A 17354-nucleotide genomic window follows, 5' to 3' on the forward strand; every position below is an offset into this window, starting at 1 on the left:
TAGAAGTCAGCTCCTCTCATTCGCACAGGGACCTGGGTACCAGTGAACCACCTTTTGCAGACCAGGGAGCCAGCTGGTGAGTGGTGAGGCAGGGGTCCCACTGAGGAATGGTGGGTCTGATAGCATGACACCAGACATCATCATGGTGACACATTACTGCATTTCTGCTCTCAGCAATTCCAAGACAGGGTCAGGACTGGGCCACCTTATGGTGGGCCCAAGGACCAAGGCTGGCAAGCCTGACCATGGACAGAAACACCCCTTGCAAACTCGCTGAGCCCCAGGATCAGAGTCCCTGGGCCGTTCTGTGTCAGCCCCATGTCTGCCTTTGCCGGGACAGGACACCACCTGCTTCCCCTGCATTCAGGCACCATGGAGTCAAACTTGCAAGAGAAAACGAGACCCACGGCCAGGCGTGGTGGCTCATGCTTGTAATCTCAGGACTTTGGGAGGCCGAGGTGGGTGGATCACCTGAGGTCAGGAGTTTGAGACCAGCCTGGCCAACGTGGCGAAACCCCATCCCTACCAAAAATACAAAAATTAGCCAGGCATGGTGGTGCGTGCCTGTAATCCCAGGTACTTGGGAGGCTGAGGCAGGAGAATCGCTTGTACACAGGAGGCGGAGGTTGCAGTGAGCCGAGATCATGCCACTGCACTTCAGCCTAGGTGATGGAGCAAGACTCCGTCTCCAAAAAAAAGAAAGAAAAAAAGAAAATGAGACCCAACCATCTGGTCCAAACAAGCAAATTCAATCAACAAATTAAGCCCCATGATCCTCTCTGGAGAGGGCAAGGCAGCCTGTGTGCGCTGAACGGCAGGGCTCTGCAGGAACAGGGAGGGGCTGGCGCTCACCGCACCAGCTATGCACCAGGCTCTGGGCTAAGAGTGTCCTCTGCTCAGAACCTCACAGTGACTACAGGAGGGGAGACATCCCAGACAGATGGGAAGCCCAGGCTCAGAGAGGTAGAGGAGCTCACCCAAGTCACACAGTGAGGCCAGGCAGATTCTGGTTCCTCCCCAGGCCCCGGTCCCTCCCCAGCCCGTGGTCCCATCAGCCCTGCCCGGTTAAGCTGCCCCACTGGACGCCCCCACTCTCATTCCAGGCCCCTCTTCCTGAAGACCAGAGAGGTGCGCCCCAGGCCAGGCTTCTGGGACTGGGGCCCCAAGCCATAGGTGGCCTCCTGGAGCTTCATCCCCCAGGACACCCCAGGCCGGAGAGGTGCGGTAAAGTCTTTCTGGGACTGTGGGCAGCAGCTGGAGGCAGGCCCAGGACAGGAGGAGCCTCCTGGCCCAGCTCCAGGAGCTGTCGGCTGGAAGGAGCACTTCATTATCAGCTGGGCTGCTGTGAAGGAGGTTATGGGGAAGGGAGGCCCAAGGGACCCGAGGTCAGCCTGGAGTCCCCTTTCCAGCCGGCTCCAAACCCCTCCATGCAGCTGGGCACCCCAGGCCCTGCCTGAGCCTATGAGGTGCCTCCCCACCCAACCCCCACTGGAAGCACCAGCCATACCCAATCATGCCCATGCATCTGTAAGGTGTAAGGACTAGTGTTGCCTCCTCCAGGAAGCCTTCCCTGACTGCTGCATGGTAGGAGTGACTCTGAGCACCCTGAGCACACATCATCTCATGGAATCCTCCCTGTGACCTCTGTGGGAGGCTCAAGGGAATGAGGCCCAGAGAAGTGAAGGCAGCTGCCCAAGGCCACCCAGTGTGGAAGCTTGAATCAGCTCCTCTCTGGGCCTCGTGACAGGGCTGGGTACCGAGGAGGACCTGATAAGTGTTGTTGAAAGAATTCTGTCAAAAGGGCTGGGTGAAGGGACTACTGTTGGGGACGGAGGGGCAGGGATGCTGCCCAGGGTGCAGCCGCCACCCTGTTGACCCCAGATGAAGGCAGGAAGGATGGCTAGATTCCCACAGATTCATCCAGTCCCTGAGCACCTACATAATAGCTCCTGTTTTACGCCTTTGGCATTAACGTGCCCATTTCACAGATGAGAAAACTGATGCCAGAGGGCCTGAGGCCAGTGCAAGATTCCCAGCCGGGCTCCAAGGGAGCACAGAGCCAAGACCTGAACCAGGTCTGCCTGGGCCCCGAGCCACTGTCCTTCCCACGACCCCAGGTCAGCCAAGGATCCTGGCCTTACCTGGGCCTTACCTAGTTCTTACCTGGGACTTTCCTATGCTCCTTCTAAGGCCTCTCCCCGTGGCATCAGCGTCTGCCCGGCATACACACTACTCGGAGGAGCCTTTGTACTCTCTATTTACAAGAGGAGGCTGTGAGCAAATTAGCAGGGTAACCAGGGAAAATGTTTGGCGTCCGTGGGTGAGAGTTGGAGCCATCTGTTGCCAAGTGCTGAGAAAACACCGGAGCACTCCCTGGAGCCGTGGTGCCCGGCAGAGCTCCAGGAAGTGGGACCAGGCACCTGCAGGCTGTGTGTCCTGGGGCAGGGTGCTCACCCTCTCTGGGCCTCAGTGTCTGGATCCGTAAAACCTGCGGGTCTGTCCAGCCTCGTGATTCCAGGATGCTCCCTGTCTCCTTTCCCCTCCTGCCCCTCTGCTCCTGGGCTCCGTACATCCTTTCTGTGCCCCCACCCTGAGACCAAGCCCTTCCTGGGAAGGAAGGCTGGCGGCCTCCACCGTGACGACAGCGCCCGCCTGCCCAGCACCGGCATTGGGGGTTTATTTACCATTGGACGCATTTGTTCCCAAGCTGAAAATAGCTTTATTGTTCCCTCTAAAGACAAAGATAATATTTCACCAATCCAGAAATGTATGCTGTAGAAAAGTAAACCGAGAGAGAGCGCCTCCCCGCCTATGCCGGGCACCTGTCCCTGAGAGCAGCGGCCCAGGCCCTGCCAAGCAGCTGGTCACACAGTGGGCCATACACAGGGTGGGATCCTTGACTGGGGTATTTCAGAGACAGAGAGATAAAAAGGGGCAGCGGGGGCTGGGTGTGTTGGCTCGTGCCCGTAATCCCAGCACTTTGGGAGGCCGAGGTAGGCGGATCACCTGAGGTCAGGAGTTCGAGACCAGCCTGACCAACATGGTGAAACCCCATCTCTACTAAAAATACAAAAATTAGTCGGGCGTGGTGGCAGGTGCCTGTAATCCAAGCTACTCAGGAGGCTGAGGCAGGAGAATCCCTTGAACCTGGGAGGCGGAGGTTGGGGTAAGCTGAGATCACGCCATTGTACTCCAGCCTCGGTGACAAAGCAAGACTCTGTCTCAAAAAAACAAAAAAAGAGGTAGATGGGGGGGAGGGAGAGAGAGGGAGGGAGAGATAGGAAAAGAGAGTGGGGGTGTGAGAGAGAGGGAGAGACAGAGGGAGACAGGAGCGAAAGGGAGAGAGAAGTGGAGGGGCAGAAAGAGAGGGAGACAGGGAAAAAGAGATTACTCCTCCCCACCTGGGACTCTTCAGCTCCTCATCAGTGTCCCTGGAGGCTGGGCCTCAGGGGTGGCTCCTTGGGGACAGGTGTCCTTTCCCCCACCTTGCCCTTCTTCCCTAGTCAGGACAGAAGAAGAGTTTCTAGTCTGAGTCTTACCGCCTCCTAACCGTGTGACCTAAGACAAGCGCCTTCGTCTTGCCGAGCATCAGTGGCCTCAGCTGTAACGTGGGGTAACCATGGCACAGGATAACTGTGAGTTACATGGACCACGTGTGGCAGTCCCTGAGCCTAGGCTGGCACTGAATTGGTGTCCAGCGGCCATTTGCCGTGGCCAATAGGATCAATAAAACGCCTGGGGTATCTGGCCGCTCGGTGGAAATTGACCCACGCAGGGCCTTTGCTGGCCACACCGGGCCCCTTGGTGAGGCTGGGGCATGTCACCTTGTCCATGAGTGGACGTGGACATGGACGTGGGCTCCTTCGCTGGAGGGAACAGCTCTGTGCTGTCCTGGAACTGCTCCCAGCAGCTCCAGAGAGCCGATTAGCACATTTTCAAGAAATATTGCGAGAAGGTTGTTAAACTCAGCCACTGTTTATTTTATTTTATTTATTTTTTATTTTATGATGGAGTCTCGCTCTGTCGCCAGGCTGGAGTGCAGTGGTGCGATCTCGGCTCACTGAAACCTCTGCCTCCCCGGTTCAAGTGATTCTCCTGCCTCAGCCTCCTGAGTAGCTGGGACTACGGGTGCGCACCACCACGCCTGGCTAATTTTTGAATTTTTAGTACAGGCGGGGTTTCGCCATGTTGGCCAGGATGGTCTCGATCTCTTGACCACGTGATCTGCCCACCTCAGCCTCCCAAAGTGCTAGGATTACAGGCATGAGCCACCGCGCCTGGCCAGCCATTGTTAAAAATGGAATGAAATAAACATACAAAGGTAATACAAACTCAAAATTCATCACTGTCTAATTATGTGACTAGGGTCTGCATTCTCCGGGTTATTTCCATCCCTGGTACCCTGTAGGATGGAAACGCCAAATGACAGTGTGCTATGCGGCTGCGTTCTCTCCCCAAATCCAAGTCCAGTGATGTCATCTTGGCACCTTGAAATCCACCACGGACGGACCAGTGCCGTGGTTTGCACCTCTTATCCCAGAGCCTCAGGAAGCTGAGGTGGGAGGATGGCTTGAACCCAAGAATTTGAATACAGTCTGGGCAACATGGTGAAACCCCAACTCTACAATAAATATGAAAGTTAGCCGGGCGTGGTGGCGTGCACCTGTAGTCCCAGCTACTTGGGAGGCTGAAGAGGGAGGATTGCTTGAGCCTGGGAGGCAGAGGCTGCAGTGAGCTGAGATTGTACCACTGCACTCTGGCCCCAATGACAAAAGCGAGACCCTATCTCAAATTAAAAAAAAAAGAAACAGAAAAAGAAAAAAAGAAAGATATGAAACAGGAGCTGGGTGCCTGCCTCTAGTCCCAGCTACTCAGGTGAAGGCCGAGTTGGGAAGATTGCTTGAGCCTAGGAGTTTGAATCCAGCCTGGGCAACATAGCAAGACCCTGTCTCTAAAAAAAAAATTAAAAAAAGAAAAGTATGAGACAGAATGTATTTGCCTAGCAGTTTTTCCGCTTGATTTATAACTCTTAGGTATGATGTGTGAGCCTTTCATAATTTGGCCCTCATCCCAGGCCTTGTATATTTAGGGGTAGGTATGACCTCAAGTTCCAGCCTCCATATCTTCTTTTTAGAGACAAGCTCTTGCTCTGTGGCCCTGGCTGGACTGCAGTGGCACAATCATAGCTCGCTGCAGCCTCAAACTCGTGGGTTCAAGTGATTCTCCTGCCTCAGCCTCCCTGAGTAGCTGGGACTACAGGAACATGCCACGATGCCTGTAGTTCCAGCTACACAATTTAAAAATTTTTTTGTAGAGACAGGGTCTTACTATGTTGCCCAGCCCTGTCTCAAACTCCTGAGCTCAAGTGATCCTCCTGCCTCAGCCTTCCAAAGTGCTGGGATTACAGGCAGGAGACACTGCACCCAGCCTCAGACTATGTATCTTTGTTCCTGCTGTTTTGTCTTCTAAAAAACACCAGTCCCCTTGGAAGCCTTCCTGGGCTGTCTGAACACGGCTGTGGTTATTATAATTATGGGCTGTGAGCCTGATGAGGTGGGGATGCGTCCCAAGGTCGAGGCTCCTTGAGGGGGCTTGTCCCAGCCCGCTAAGAGCACGGGTTGGTGAGAGGCGGCTGGTTTGTCCCTGAAGGAGCTTATCTTGGCTGAATTCTCCTAATCCTCTTGCAGGATTAAGGAAACTCAATGCACGTCCCGTTGATAATGCCCTTTAAGGATTTAATAAGCTTTGGGCTTTCCAAGAGAAAGCCTTGGAAGAGGAATTTGAAAAACTTGCCTCAGCTCCAGACTTTGCTTCTCACTCACTGGGTGACCTTGATCTGTGGCTCCGTTTCTCTACCTGCAAAGAAAAGGGGTGAGTGGTGGCCTGTGGTCCCTGTGCTGTTGTGTGTCTTAGGGGAGGGCTGCACACAACAGCTGGGACTACAGGTGCACACCACCACGCCTGGCTAACTTTTGTATTTTTAGTAGGGGGGGCGGTTTCACCATGTTGGCCAGGATGGTCTCAATCTCTTGACCTTGTGATCTGCCGCTTCAGCCTCCCAAAGTGGCTATAATGTGTATTGGTTTGGGAAGCTTCCACCCCACCCGCCCTGGGGGGAGGTAGGGCTGTGAGTCACCAAAGCATCACTGAGGCCAGTCATGGGACAGTATCCATTGGAACACAGAGGTTGGTCAGGGAAGGGCATATGGCTCGAACCTGGCCTGTCAGAGCCTTCCTTAGAACTTTTATGAGGTCTTCCTGGATGGGTTTATTTTATGGCACCTCAATTTGGGGAGATAAGATCAAGCTGCCATAGACACCTGTCCGCCATGTGCCCAGCACCTATGTGCAGAATGAAGTTCATGAAGACAAACAGAACAGCAGATGAAGCCAGAGCCCTGGCAGCGTTACTTGAGACCCTGGATCTAGCCTTACCTGACACCTACTCTGTGGGCCAGTAAATTCCCTTTTTAGCATAAAGCTGTATGAGTGGCGTTTCTGCCACTTGGAACTGAAGGAGTGTGGATGTACCTGTTTCCAGGAAGAGGAATCGATGGATTTCATCAAATTCTCCTTGATTCCCCCAAAGACTAAGAAGCCCTGCTATGGTTTGAATGTTTGTCTTCTCCGACACTCATGTTGAAATTTATCCCCAATGTGTCAGTATTGAGAGGTGGGGCCTTTAAGAGCTGATTGGGTCATGCGGGCTCTGCCCTCTCGAATGGAGTAATCCATTCATTAATTATGGGTTATTATGGGAGTGGGATTGGTGGCCTTATAAGAAGAAGAGAGATTTGAGATAGGATGCTCAGCCCTCTCACCATGGGATGCCCTGTGCCTCCCTGGGACTCTGCAGACAGGAGTCCCCACTAGCAAGAAGGTCCTCACCAGACACAGCCCCACAGCCTTGGACTTCCCAGCCTCTAGAACTGTAAGAAATAAATAGTTTTCTTTTTTCTTTTTTTTTTTTTTTGAGACGGAGTCTCGCTCTGTCACCCAGGCTGGAGTGCAGTGGCACAATCTGGGCTCACTGCAAGCTCCGCCTCCCAGGTTCATGCCATTCTCCTGCCTCAGCCTCCAGAGTAGCTGGGACTACAGGCGCCCGCCACCACGCCTGGCTAATTTATTGTATTTTTAGTAGAGACGGGGTTTCACTGTGTTAGCCAGGATGGTCTCGATCTCTTGACCTCGTGATCCACCCGCCTCAGCCTCCCAAAGTGCTGGGATTAAAGGCATGAGCCACCGCGCCCCGCCGTTTTCTTTAAAAATTACCCAGCATCAGGTATTCAGTTGTAGCAGTAGCAAATGGACTAAGACAAGCCCTGCGGGAGGTTTCTTCTGGCTCCTGGTGCTCAAATCTCTCAGCAGCCACTGGCCAGTATAACCCGGGAGGGGTCGTCACCAGACTGCAAATTTCATCCTCTGTTTTCCCCCTGCCCTTCTCCACCCTGCTGAGTGCCCTGGGGAGCTGCCCTGTATGAGCCACATCAATGGACTCCCTGCCTCTGTCTTCCAGTGAGATTTGGCTAATGGAAGGAAGACACCAACAGGGGGTTGGAGGGAGTGAGAAAGGGATTCGAAGTTAACCATATCTTCTCCTGACTCCCTCCCCGTGAGGTCACCCTGCCTAGAGTGTTCCTTGACATAGGTCACGGCTTCCCAAGGCCCCTCTCTCTCATTCTAGATTCTGGTGTCTTGGGCCAGGCGTGGTGGCTCACGCCTGTATTTCCCAGCACTTTGGGAGGCCAAGGCAGGCAGATCACTTGAGTTCAGGAGTTTGAGACCAGCCTGGCCAACATGGCAAAACCCGTCTCTACTAAAAATACAAAAATTAGCCAGGCATGGTGGTGCAGGCCTATAATCCCAGCTACTAGGGAGGCTAAGTCAGGAGGATCGCTTAAACCTGGGAGGCAGAGGTTGCAGTGAGCTGAGATCACATCACTGCACTCCAACCTGGGTGACAGAGCGAGACGCCATCTCAAAAAAAAAAAAATACCGACAGGAAATATCTGAAAGGAAGAAATAATTTAACATTTTGTAATGAAAATAAGCAAAGTCTAAAACACTCCTCCTGAGCTCCTTGTAGCAAAAGACAAAGATAGCCTAATGCAGGCCAGGTGTGGTGGCTCATGCCTGTAATCCCAGCACTTTGGGAGGCTGAGGCGGGAGGATCACAAGGTCAGAAGATTGAGACCATCCTGGCTAACATGGTGAAACCCCATCTCTACTGAAAATACAAAAAATTAGCTGGGTGTGATGGCGGGCGCCTGTAGTCCCAGCTACTCGGGAGGCTGAGGCAGGAGAATGGCGTGAACCTGGGAGGCGGAGCTTGTAGTGAGCCGAGATCACGCCACTGCACTCCGGCCTGGGTGAGAATGTGAGGCTCCGTCTCAAAAAAAAAAAAAAAAGATTCTGGTGTCTGGTCCTTCCCTACTGGTTTGGGCTTAGGGGCAGCCACAGCTCTTTTTTTTTTTTTTTAATTGAGATGGAGTCTTGCTCTGTTGCCAGGCTGGAGTGCAGTGGTGCAATCTTGGCTCGCTGCAACCTCTGCCTCCCTGGTTCAAGCAAGTCTCCTGCCTCAGCCTCCTGAGTAGCTGGGATTACAGGCGCATGCCGCCATGCCTGGCTAATTTGTTTTTTTTGTATTTTAGTACAGATGGGGTTTCACCATGTTGCCCAGGCTGATCTCAAACTCCTGAGCTCAGGCAATCCGCCCACCTTGGCCTCCCACAGTGCTAGGATTACAGGCTTGAGCCACTGCGCCCAGCCGGTCACAGCTCTTTTTTCTGCTATCCCAGGTCACCATAGTGCCAGGCGGTTCCTGACCCCCTGTCCTCCCTCGTGTGAACCATCCCTTTGTAAATAACCCTCCTTGAATTACCCTGATCTCAATCTGCTGTTTTCTGTTGAGGTCTCAGAGAGGCGAGAGCCACCAAAAAACTTTATGATCAAATAAAACGTGGTGGCCCCGGGATGACCACGTAGACCCTGGGGTGGAGCAGAAAGGGTACTGAGCTGCCAGGAGACGGGACACACTCAGGGTATTTCTCGGGTGTGCAGAGTCACTCTTAGATACTCTACTTCATCATCAGTAACACGAAAGTTCACCTAAAACAGCACAACATCTCTCTGGTCCTAACTCCTACAGCATCCTTTTTTTTTTTTTTTTTTGCCTTGAGGCAGGGTCTTGCTCTGTTTCCCAGGCTGGAATGCAGTGGTACCATAATAGCTCACTGCAGCCTCGAACTCCTGGACTCAAGTGATCCTCCCACCTCAGCCTCCCGAGTATCTGGGACCACAGGTCCATGCCACCACACGCGGCTAATTGTTGTGGGGTTTGTAGAGATGGGCTTTCACCATATTGCCTGGGCTAGTCTCAAACTCCTGCGCTCAAGTGATCATCCTGCTGGGAGGATCCCAAAGTGCTGGGATTACAGGCATGAGCCACCATGCCCGGCCTGAACATCAATTCTTGAGAGCAGCATATTTCATGTTTACAACATTAACTTTATTTTATTTCATTTTTAAGAGTCAGGGTATGGCTGGGCATGGTGGCTCACACCTGTAATTCCAGCACTTTGGGAGGCCGAGGTGAGCAGATCACTTGAGGTCAGGAGTTCAAGACCAGCCTGGCCAACGTAGGGAAACCCCACCTTTACTGAAAATATAAAAATTAGCTGGGTGTGGTGGTGCACATCTGTAATCCCAGCTACTTGGGAGGCTGAGGTATGAGAATTGCTTGAACCCAAGAGGTGGAGGTTGCAGTGAGTTGAGGTCTTGCCACTGCATTCTAGGCTGGGCTACAGAGCTAGACTCTGTCTCCAAAAAAAAAAAAGAGTCAGGGTCTCACTCTTTTGCACAGGCTGGAGTGCAGTGGTGCGATCATAGCTCGCTGCACTGTAGCCTTGACCTCTTGGACTCAAGCTATCCTCCTGCCTCAGCCTCCTGAGTAGCTAACAGGCATGCACCCCCACGCCTGGTTAACTTTTTGTTTTTGTAGAGATGGGGTCTCACTATGTTGCCCAAGCTAAATAACATAAAGAACGTAAGCATCCTCCGGCCTTGGCCTCCCAAAGTGCTGTGATTATAGCCATGAGCCACCCACGCCCGGGCAGAGGGAAGTTCTTAAAAAGGAAGCCTGGTGAGATGAAGCAATGCACACAATATAACATTCCGTGGGAATGCAGAATGCGCGTTGCTTTATGAAATGTGTGTAAAAGTCAGGTTTTGTTGGGTGAAATAAATATGCATATGGGGGAGATTGGGAAAGAACTCTGTCCTTAGCTAAAAGTTCAACTGTGAAGTCTTGGAGCACTTGCCTGTGGAACTGAGGTGAGTGTGAGAGTCACATTTCACAGGACCCTCCCCACTCCCCCAAGATGTCAAAGGGACTACGTGGAAACTGCTCTGTGGCTCCCAACATCTTGTTCTAAGCGAAGTTTGTCGTTATCCCAGGGATGCCAAAACACTGAGAATTCCTGCCTTCTGCAATACGTGGATTAACTCCCCATGAACTTAATGTTTCCTTTTTTTTTTTTTTTTTTTGAGATGGAGTTTTGCTCTTGTCGCCCAGGCTGGAGTGCAGTGGTGTGATCTCAGCTCACTGTAACCTCTGCATCCCGGGTTCAAGCAATTCTCCTGCCTCAGCCTCCCGAGTAGTTGGAATTACAAGTGCCCACCACCACGCCTGGCTAATTTTTGTATTTTTAGTAGAGACTGGGTTTTGCTATGTTGGCCAGGCTGGTCTCGAACTCCTGACCTCAAGTGATCCACCCACCTCAGCCTCCCAAAGTGTTGGAAATACAGGTGTGAGCCACTGCGCCTGGCCTTAATTTTTCCTTTTTAGCCAAAGGTTGTGAGTGGTCTGATGGCTTCTGATCCAGTCCCATCTCAGTTTCTTGGGCTTGTAAGGACATTTAATAATTGATGGGGTGGCTCCCTTCTGAGCCATCAGGAGCGGAGGGCGCTTTGGATTCTGGTGCTTTGACCTGCAGGAGGAAGAGAGTGTCTCTGGGACTTTATCGCCCGGCACCCTGCACTGTATGGCCTTGGGCAAGTCATGCCTCCTCTTGGGGCCTTGGCCATCAAGTCTATGAGATGGGCCATGTTGTCCAGGCTGTTCTCGAACTCCTGACTTCAAGTGATCCTCCCACTTCGCCCTTCCAAAGTGCTGGGATTACAGGCATCAGCCACCACCCACACAGCCACCCACTTTTATCTCCCAGGAGGGCCCAACCCTTCTCCCTTGGTTTCAATATGAAAAATCCCAGGGGAGAATCTGATTGGCCCAACTTGGGTCACATGGTTGCCCGGGGCCAGGAGGGTGGGGCAGCAGGACGGCAGCCATGTGGCTGGGGTTGGGGAGGTGGGGCTCTTCCTGACAAGGGGTGTCTGTCCAGAACAGAGAGCGTCCCAGCTTTTGAGTGATGGAGGGTTGCACTACAGCCTCTAGAGTCTTCTTCAGAGGGAGGAGAGAGTGGGAAGCTTGGGAGAAAAGGCTTCCAGGAGTTAAGTGGGAAACAGAGCTCCTCGTCTATTCTTGTCCCTTTGATCCTCAATGGTATTGTCAATTCCATGACAACGGGAGACGCTTTTAAGTCACAAGTGATTTTCGCAAGCAACAAACTATATTTTTATCACTCCGAATCCTCCCAAATGACTACTTCCTCAAGGGCTGTGTTTGGGGCCTGCCAGAGTCTCCTCTAGGATCCACAGTGCCTCCAGGTGGGTGACACCCCACTGGTCTTGGGGCGCTCTTGGAATCTGCCGGGTGATGTCATTTCTGCTGCCGGTCGCTGCGTCTGTCTGGCTCCTGCCTCCCGCCCCCTCTGCTCCTGTCTCCTCTGCCTCTTGAAGGACATTTGCAAGCAAATTGAGCTTTGTAGTGGAGAGCGTCAGCCTCAATTTCAGTTGAAACCATCATCTTCAGCTTGAGAGGCCACACAGTCACATGAACACACACAGACACAGTGACACACACACACACACAAACACCCCCAAAACACTGTCACACACAGAAATGCATATGTGCTTGGACACACACATAGACACACACAGACATACACATGCATGCAAGACACACACACACTGAAGCACACTCAGCCACAGACACACACAGACACATTCAGACACACAGAGGCGTGCACACAGATTCAGATAGGGATAGACAGATGAGCAAAGCAGGAGATAAAGGCACCGCACAGATGGACAGACCCAGACACACACATACAAAGACACACACTCAATCTCACGTAGATGCACACACTTGTCAGTCAGTGCTGGACTGGTCAGTATTTAACACACCCAGCGTTCTGACTTGTAGCAGTTGCTAATTTCCATGGTGTCAATATTCCCACCGGATTCCAGCTATCATTATGAGGTCAGAGTTGGGGACAGGGCACACAGTCGTCTTTGGAGCTGGGAGGAGTCGGCTCTGACACCTGTGGCCACTGCCAGGCTCACACAGACACTCACAACAATAGACACACACACGTGTGCTCTGCTGAAAACTGTCACTCCCCTGGTGTCCCAGCAGTCCTGGATTCAACCCCTGGCTATGCTGTGTGTCTTTGATCACATTTCTCAACCTCTGTGAGCCTCCCATTTCTTGTAAAATGGCAAAAGCCCACCCAGGGCTGATGGAAGGATGGGTGGTCATTTGGGAGTGCCCCCACATGGAGCCTGGTACCCGGTGGTGGCTTGGCCTTGCACAGAAGAGAGAGTGCTCTGTGACCATCTGCTTGGTCCTAGGGTCTGGGCTCTGGGCTGGCACAGACACCTGTTCAGCTGCCAGAGCCCCAGGGCCACAGCTGGTGTGTGCCCACCAGCCTGTCGGCAGCCCTTTGGCACTCTTCTGCTCTTGGGCAAGATGTGGGGTATGTCCCCTGGTCTAATTTAGGGCCCCCACCCTCTACGACTTGGTCCCTCACGCTTCCCAGATTTGTGTCTTGGGCTGGTCTCTCTGCCTGGAGGGTCCTGCCTCTGGCTCCTCACCCTTCTGACCATCAGAGTTCATGCTATAGCTGAGCATGGTGGTGCCCATCTGTAGTCCCAGCTACTTGAGAGGCCGACATGGGAGGATCGCTTAAGCCTAGGGGTTCTAGACAACAGTGAACTGTGATCATGCCACTGCACTCTAGCCTGGGCAACAGAGCAAGACCTTGTCTCTACAGAAAATTTTAAAAATTAGCATTAGCCAGGTGTGGTGGTGGTGAACCTGTGGTCCCAGCTACTTGGGAGGCTGAGGGGGGAGGGTCTCCTGAGCCTGGGACATCTAGGCTGCAGTGAGGTATGATGGCACCACTGCACTCCAGCCTGGGTGACAGAGCGAGACCCCAACTCTTAAAAAAAAAAAAGAAAAAAAAAAGAATTGGCCAGGTGCGGTGGCTCAAGCCTGTAGTCCCAGCACTTTGGGAGGCCGAGGCAAGTGGATCACCTGAGGTCAGGAGTTTGAGACCAGCCTGGCCAACATGGTGAAACCTCATCTCTACTAAAAATACAAAAATTAGCAGGGCGTGGTGGCATATGCCCATAATCCCAGCTACTTGGGAGGCTGAGGCAGGAGGATTGCTTGAACCTGGGAGGCAGAGGTTGCAGTGAGCCAAGATCTTGCCACTGCACTCCAGCCTGGGCAACAGTAAGACTTGGTCTCAAACAAACAAAAACAAAAAACACACAAAAAAAGAGGCCGGGCTTGGTGACTCATGCCTGTAATTCCAGCACTTTGGGAGGCCAAGGTGGGAGGATCACCTGAGATCAGGAGTTCAAGACCAGCCTGGCCAAAGTGGTGAAACTCTGTCTCTACTAAAAAATACAAAAATTAGCCAGTCGTGATGGGGTGTGCACCTGTAATCCCAGCTACTAGGGAGGCTAAGGCGTGAGAATCGCTTGAAACAGGGAGACGGAGGTTGCAGTGAGCCAAGATCGTGCCACTGCCTTCCAGCCTGGATGACAGAATGAGACTCTGTCTCAGAAAAAAAAAAAAAAATTACCAGAGAGATTCCACAAACTGTCTCCAAAGGAGAGGACACAAGAGGTGTGCTTCCAGGTTTCCAGAACCTTCCCTGCATCTCCTCGCCAAACCTACTTCCCCTCAGCTTTGGGAAGGGCTCAGGGCCTTGCCTGTACCCCAAGTTTACTCTACATATGGCTGTGATCTGAACTGGGGTGAGGCCAGGGGATGACCCTGTCCCCCTAGTCTGGGCTGGAGCTCCTATTTCCCAGGCTCATGCATGGCTGTGGGTGGGCCCTGAGGGACCCTTTGCTGGCTGGGTCACAGATACAAGGTCCTGGTCTGTGAGCAGCCTGTTCACCGGCTCATGCAGTACAGGGGCCCTGTGGAGTGGACTCGTTGTCCTCCGGCCCACCTCTCTCTGGCCTGGGAGGAGTCTGGGCAGGCCCCCGCCCCAGGGCCAATTCCATCCTGTGGCCTCTTTGCTGATGGAGCCGTCTCTTCCCTCAAAGGGTTTCCTGCTGCTGGAGTGGAAATAATTTCTTCTGAGATTTCAGAGGCAGAAGACATTTCTCACCTTCCCAAAAGCCCGGAGGATGGAGATTAGAATGAGTGGGGTCGTTTCATGATCAGGGAGGCCAAGTGGGAACCCTGTGACTGATCCATTTGTCCTGGTTCCCGGAAGGATGTCACCCAGGCAGGGCTGAGGGGAGGAGGTGGAGATTCGGGGGTCGAGGGGCTCCCACAGCCCAGGCCTGAATCCGCTGCTGGGTTCCTCCACCTCCCAGCTCTGCCTCTGGAGGAGGGAGAGGCTAATCTTCCTCCAAACACTTCACGCTTCAGGAAATCACAGGCTCTCAGAGTGCAGGGCCCCTCTTGGCCGAGCGAGTGTGATTTTTCCCGGGAAGTGGCTCTTATGAGACTCTCTAAGGGGTCCCTGACCTGAAGAGAAGGTTCAACAGCCCTGCCTCGGAGGAGGAAAATGAACATTCGCTGTGCGTACAAAAATAGCTTACATGCTCAGAGCCTGCGTTTGAGGGGTGCAGGCCTGGCGCACAGGGGTCTGGGTCCAAGCCCCTGCCTCGCTGGCACTCTCAATGAACTTGGGAGCAGGTGCGCCCGTCTCCAGCAGGTTCGTTCCCCATCAAGGAGGGAGAAACAGGCCATCTTCATAGGCCTGGGCAAGGCAGGAAGGGCTGAGTGCAGTGAGGGCCGAATGCTCGCTCCTCCTGGATACCATGGCCCTGGCAGCTGTGGGGAAGATTCAAGGCATATGTGGCTGGGTGGGAGTTGTTTCAGCTCTGCCCCAAGCAGGGAACCACGGTGGTGGGCGGAGGGGGTCCTAGCTGGTCAAGTGATGTCTTCCACTCCCAGACTCTAGGAAGCAGGCCCAGCCTCGGGAGGGCAGACATGTTGTTTGTACCGGGCACAAGTGGCCAGGGAATGACCAATGGCAGGTTGCTGCTGACCGGAAGGAGGACAGAACCAGGACAGTGGAGGTCTTGGTTCTAGTGGCTGCTGTGACATTGCCCTCTCCTCTCTCTGCTTGTCTCTCTCCCTGTCCTCATCCTGATCCCCACCCTTCCTCTCTCCCTCTCTTTTCTCCTCTGCCCTGGAGTCTCACTCTGTCGCCCAGGCTGGAGTGCAGTGGCACGATCTCGGCTCACTGCAACCTCCGCCTCCTGGGTTCAAGCGATTCTTCTGCCTCAGCCTCCCAAGTAGCTTGGACTACAGGTGCCTGCCACCATGCCCGGCTAATTTTTGTATTTTTAATAGAGATGGGGTTTCACCATGTTGGCCAGGCTGGTCTCTAACTCCTGACCTCAGGTGATCCACCCATCTTGGCCTCCCAAAGTGTTGGGATTACAGGCGTGAGCCACTGCACCTGGCCTAATTTTTGTATTTTTAATAGAGACAGGGTTTCACCATGTTGGCCAAGCTGGTCTCGAACTCCTGACCTCGTGATTCCCCTCTGCCCTTTTTTTTGTTTTGTTTTTGTTTCTGAGACAGGGTCTCGCTCCATCCCCCAGGCTGGAGTGCAGTGGCACAATCTCAGCTCACTGCAGCTTCCAACTCCTGGGTTCTAGTGATCCTCCTGCCTCAGCCTCCCACATAGCTGGGATCACAGGTGCATTCCACTATGTCTGGCTAGTTTTTTGTAGAGATGGAGCCTCACTGTGTTGCCAGGCTGGTCTTGAACTCCTAGGCTCAAGTGATCCTCCTGCCTCGGCCTCCCAAAGTGCTGGGACTATAGGTGTGAGCCACTACGCCCAGCCCCCTCAGCCTGTCTTGCCCCAAAAGGTGGGTGCCAGCCAACATGTCCCCCTGCAGGTGCCAGTCACCTTCCTCCTGAGTGCATTCCCGGTGCAGGTGCACAGCTGGGGCTGGCCCTAGGAGCGGCCCTCGCCCATGATGGGTGGCGACTGGTGGATAAACTCGGGGTTCCTGGTGCCTGGGTTGGGACAGCCACAGCAGCCCAGGGGCTCCCAAGAGGGTTGAGTTCCTCTTGCCCACCGAGGCTCCAGCTGCCTAAAGAACAGCCTTGCCCAGACCCACAGCCCTTCTCAGGTTGCCTGCACGCTTGCTTCAGGGTTGCTTTGGGGACACACCCCTTCTGGGGCTTCCTGCTCCCAGATCACTTCTGCTAAGAAGGGTCTCGGAGGCTGGGCATGGTGGCTCACACCTGTAATCCCAACACTCTGGGAGGCCATGGCGGGTGGATCACAAGGTCAGGAGATCGAGACCATCCTGGCTAACACGGTGAAACCCCGTCTCTACTAAATATACAAAAAATTAGCTGGGTGTGGTGGCGGGCGCCTGTAGTCCCAGCTACTCAGGAGGCTGAGGCAGGAGAATGGCATGAACCCAGGAGGCAGAGCTTGCAGTGAGCAGAGATCGCGCCACTGCACTCCAACCTGGCGACAGAGTGAGACTCCGTCTCAAAAAATAATAATAATAATAATAAAGAGGCGTGTTTGTGGCTGGGAGCGGCGGCTCATGCCTGTAATCCCAGCACCTGAGGTCAGGAGCTCAAGACCAGCCTGCCCAACATGGCGAAACCCCGTCTCTACTAAAAATACCAAAATTAGCTGGGGCATGGTGGCACACACCTGCAATCCCAGCTACTTGGGAGGCTGAGGCAGGAGAATCACTTGAACCCAGCAGATGCAGGTTGTTGTGAGCTGAGATTGCACCATAGCACTCTAGCCTGGGCAACAGAATAAGACTCTGTCTCAAAACAAAACAAACAAACAAAAAAAGGCATGTTTGTGTTGGAGACATTCTGTAGCAGGAGCTAAGGTGGAGGCCCAGGGCACCCTGCAGCCATGACTCCTTTCATTCAGCTTACGTGAGCAGCCACTGTGTGCCTGGATCTGTGCTGGGCCCAGGGATGGTGAGATGA

At 53.4% G+C, this 17354-nt stretch overlaps 1 non-coding gene across 1 annotated transcript; it reads right to left on the minus strand.

Moving 5' to 3' along the window:
• Positions 1-213: 213 nt before the first annotated feature.
• Positions 214-293, minus strand: MIR4283-1 (microRNA 4283-1). The gene has a single exon (NR_036246.1). It is a non-coding gene; the product is annotated as a microRNA 4283-1 (primary transcript).
• Between the last annotated feature and the right edge of the window lie 17061 nt (positions 294-17354).

Source organism: Homo sapiens, chromosome 7 (genome assembly GCF_000001405.40).
Source record: "Homo sapiens chromosome 7, GRCh38.p14 Primary Assembly".
NCBI lineage: Eukaryota > Metazoa > Chordata > Mammalia > Primates > Hominidae > Homo > Homo sapiens.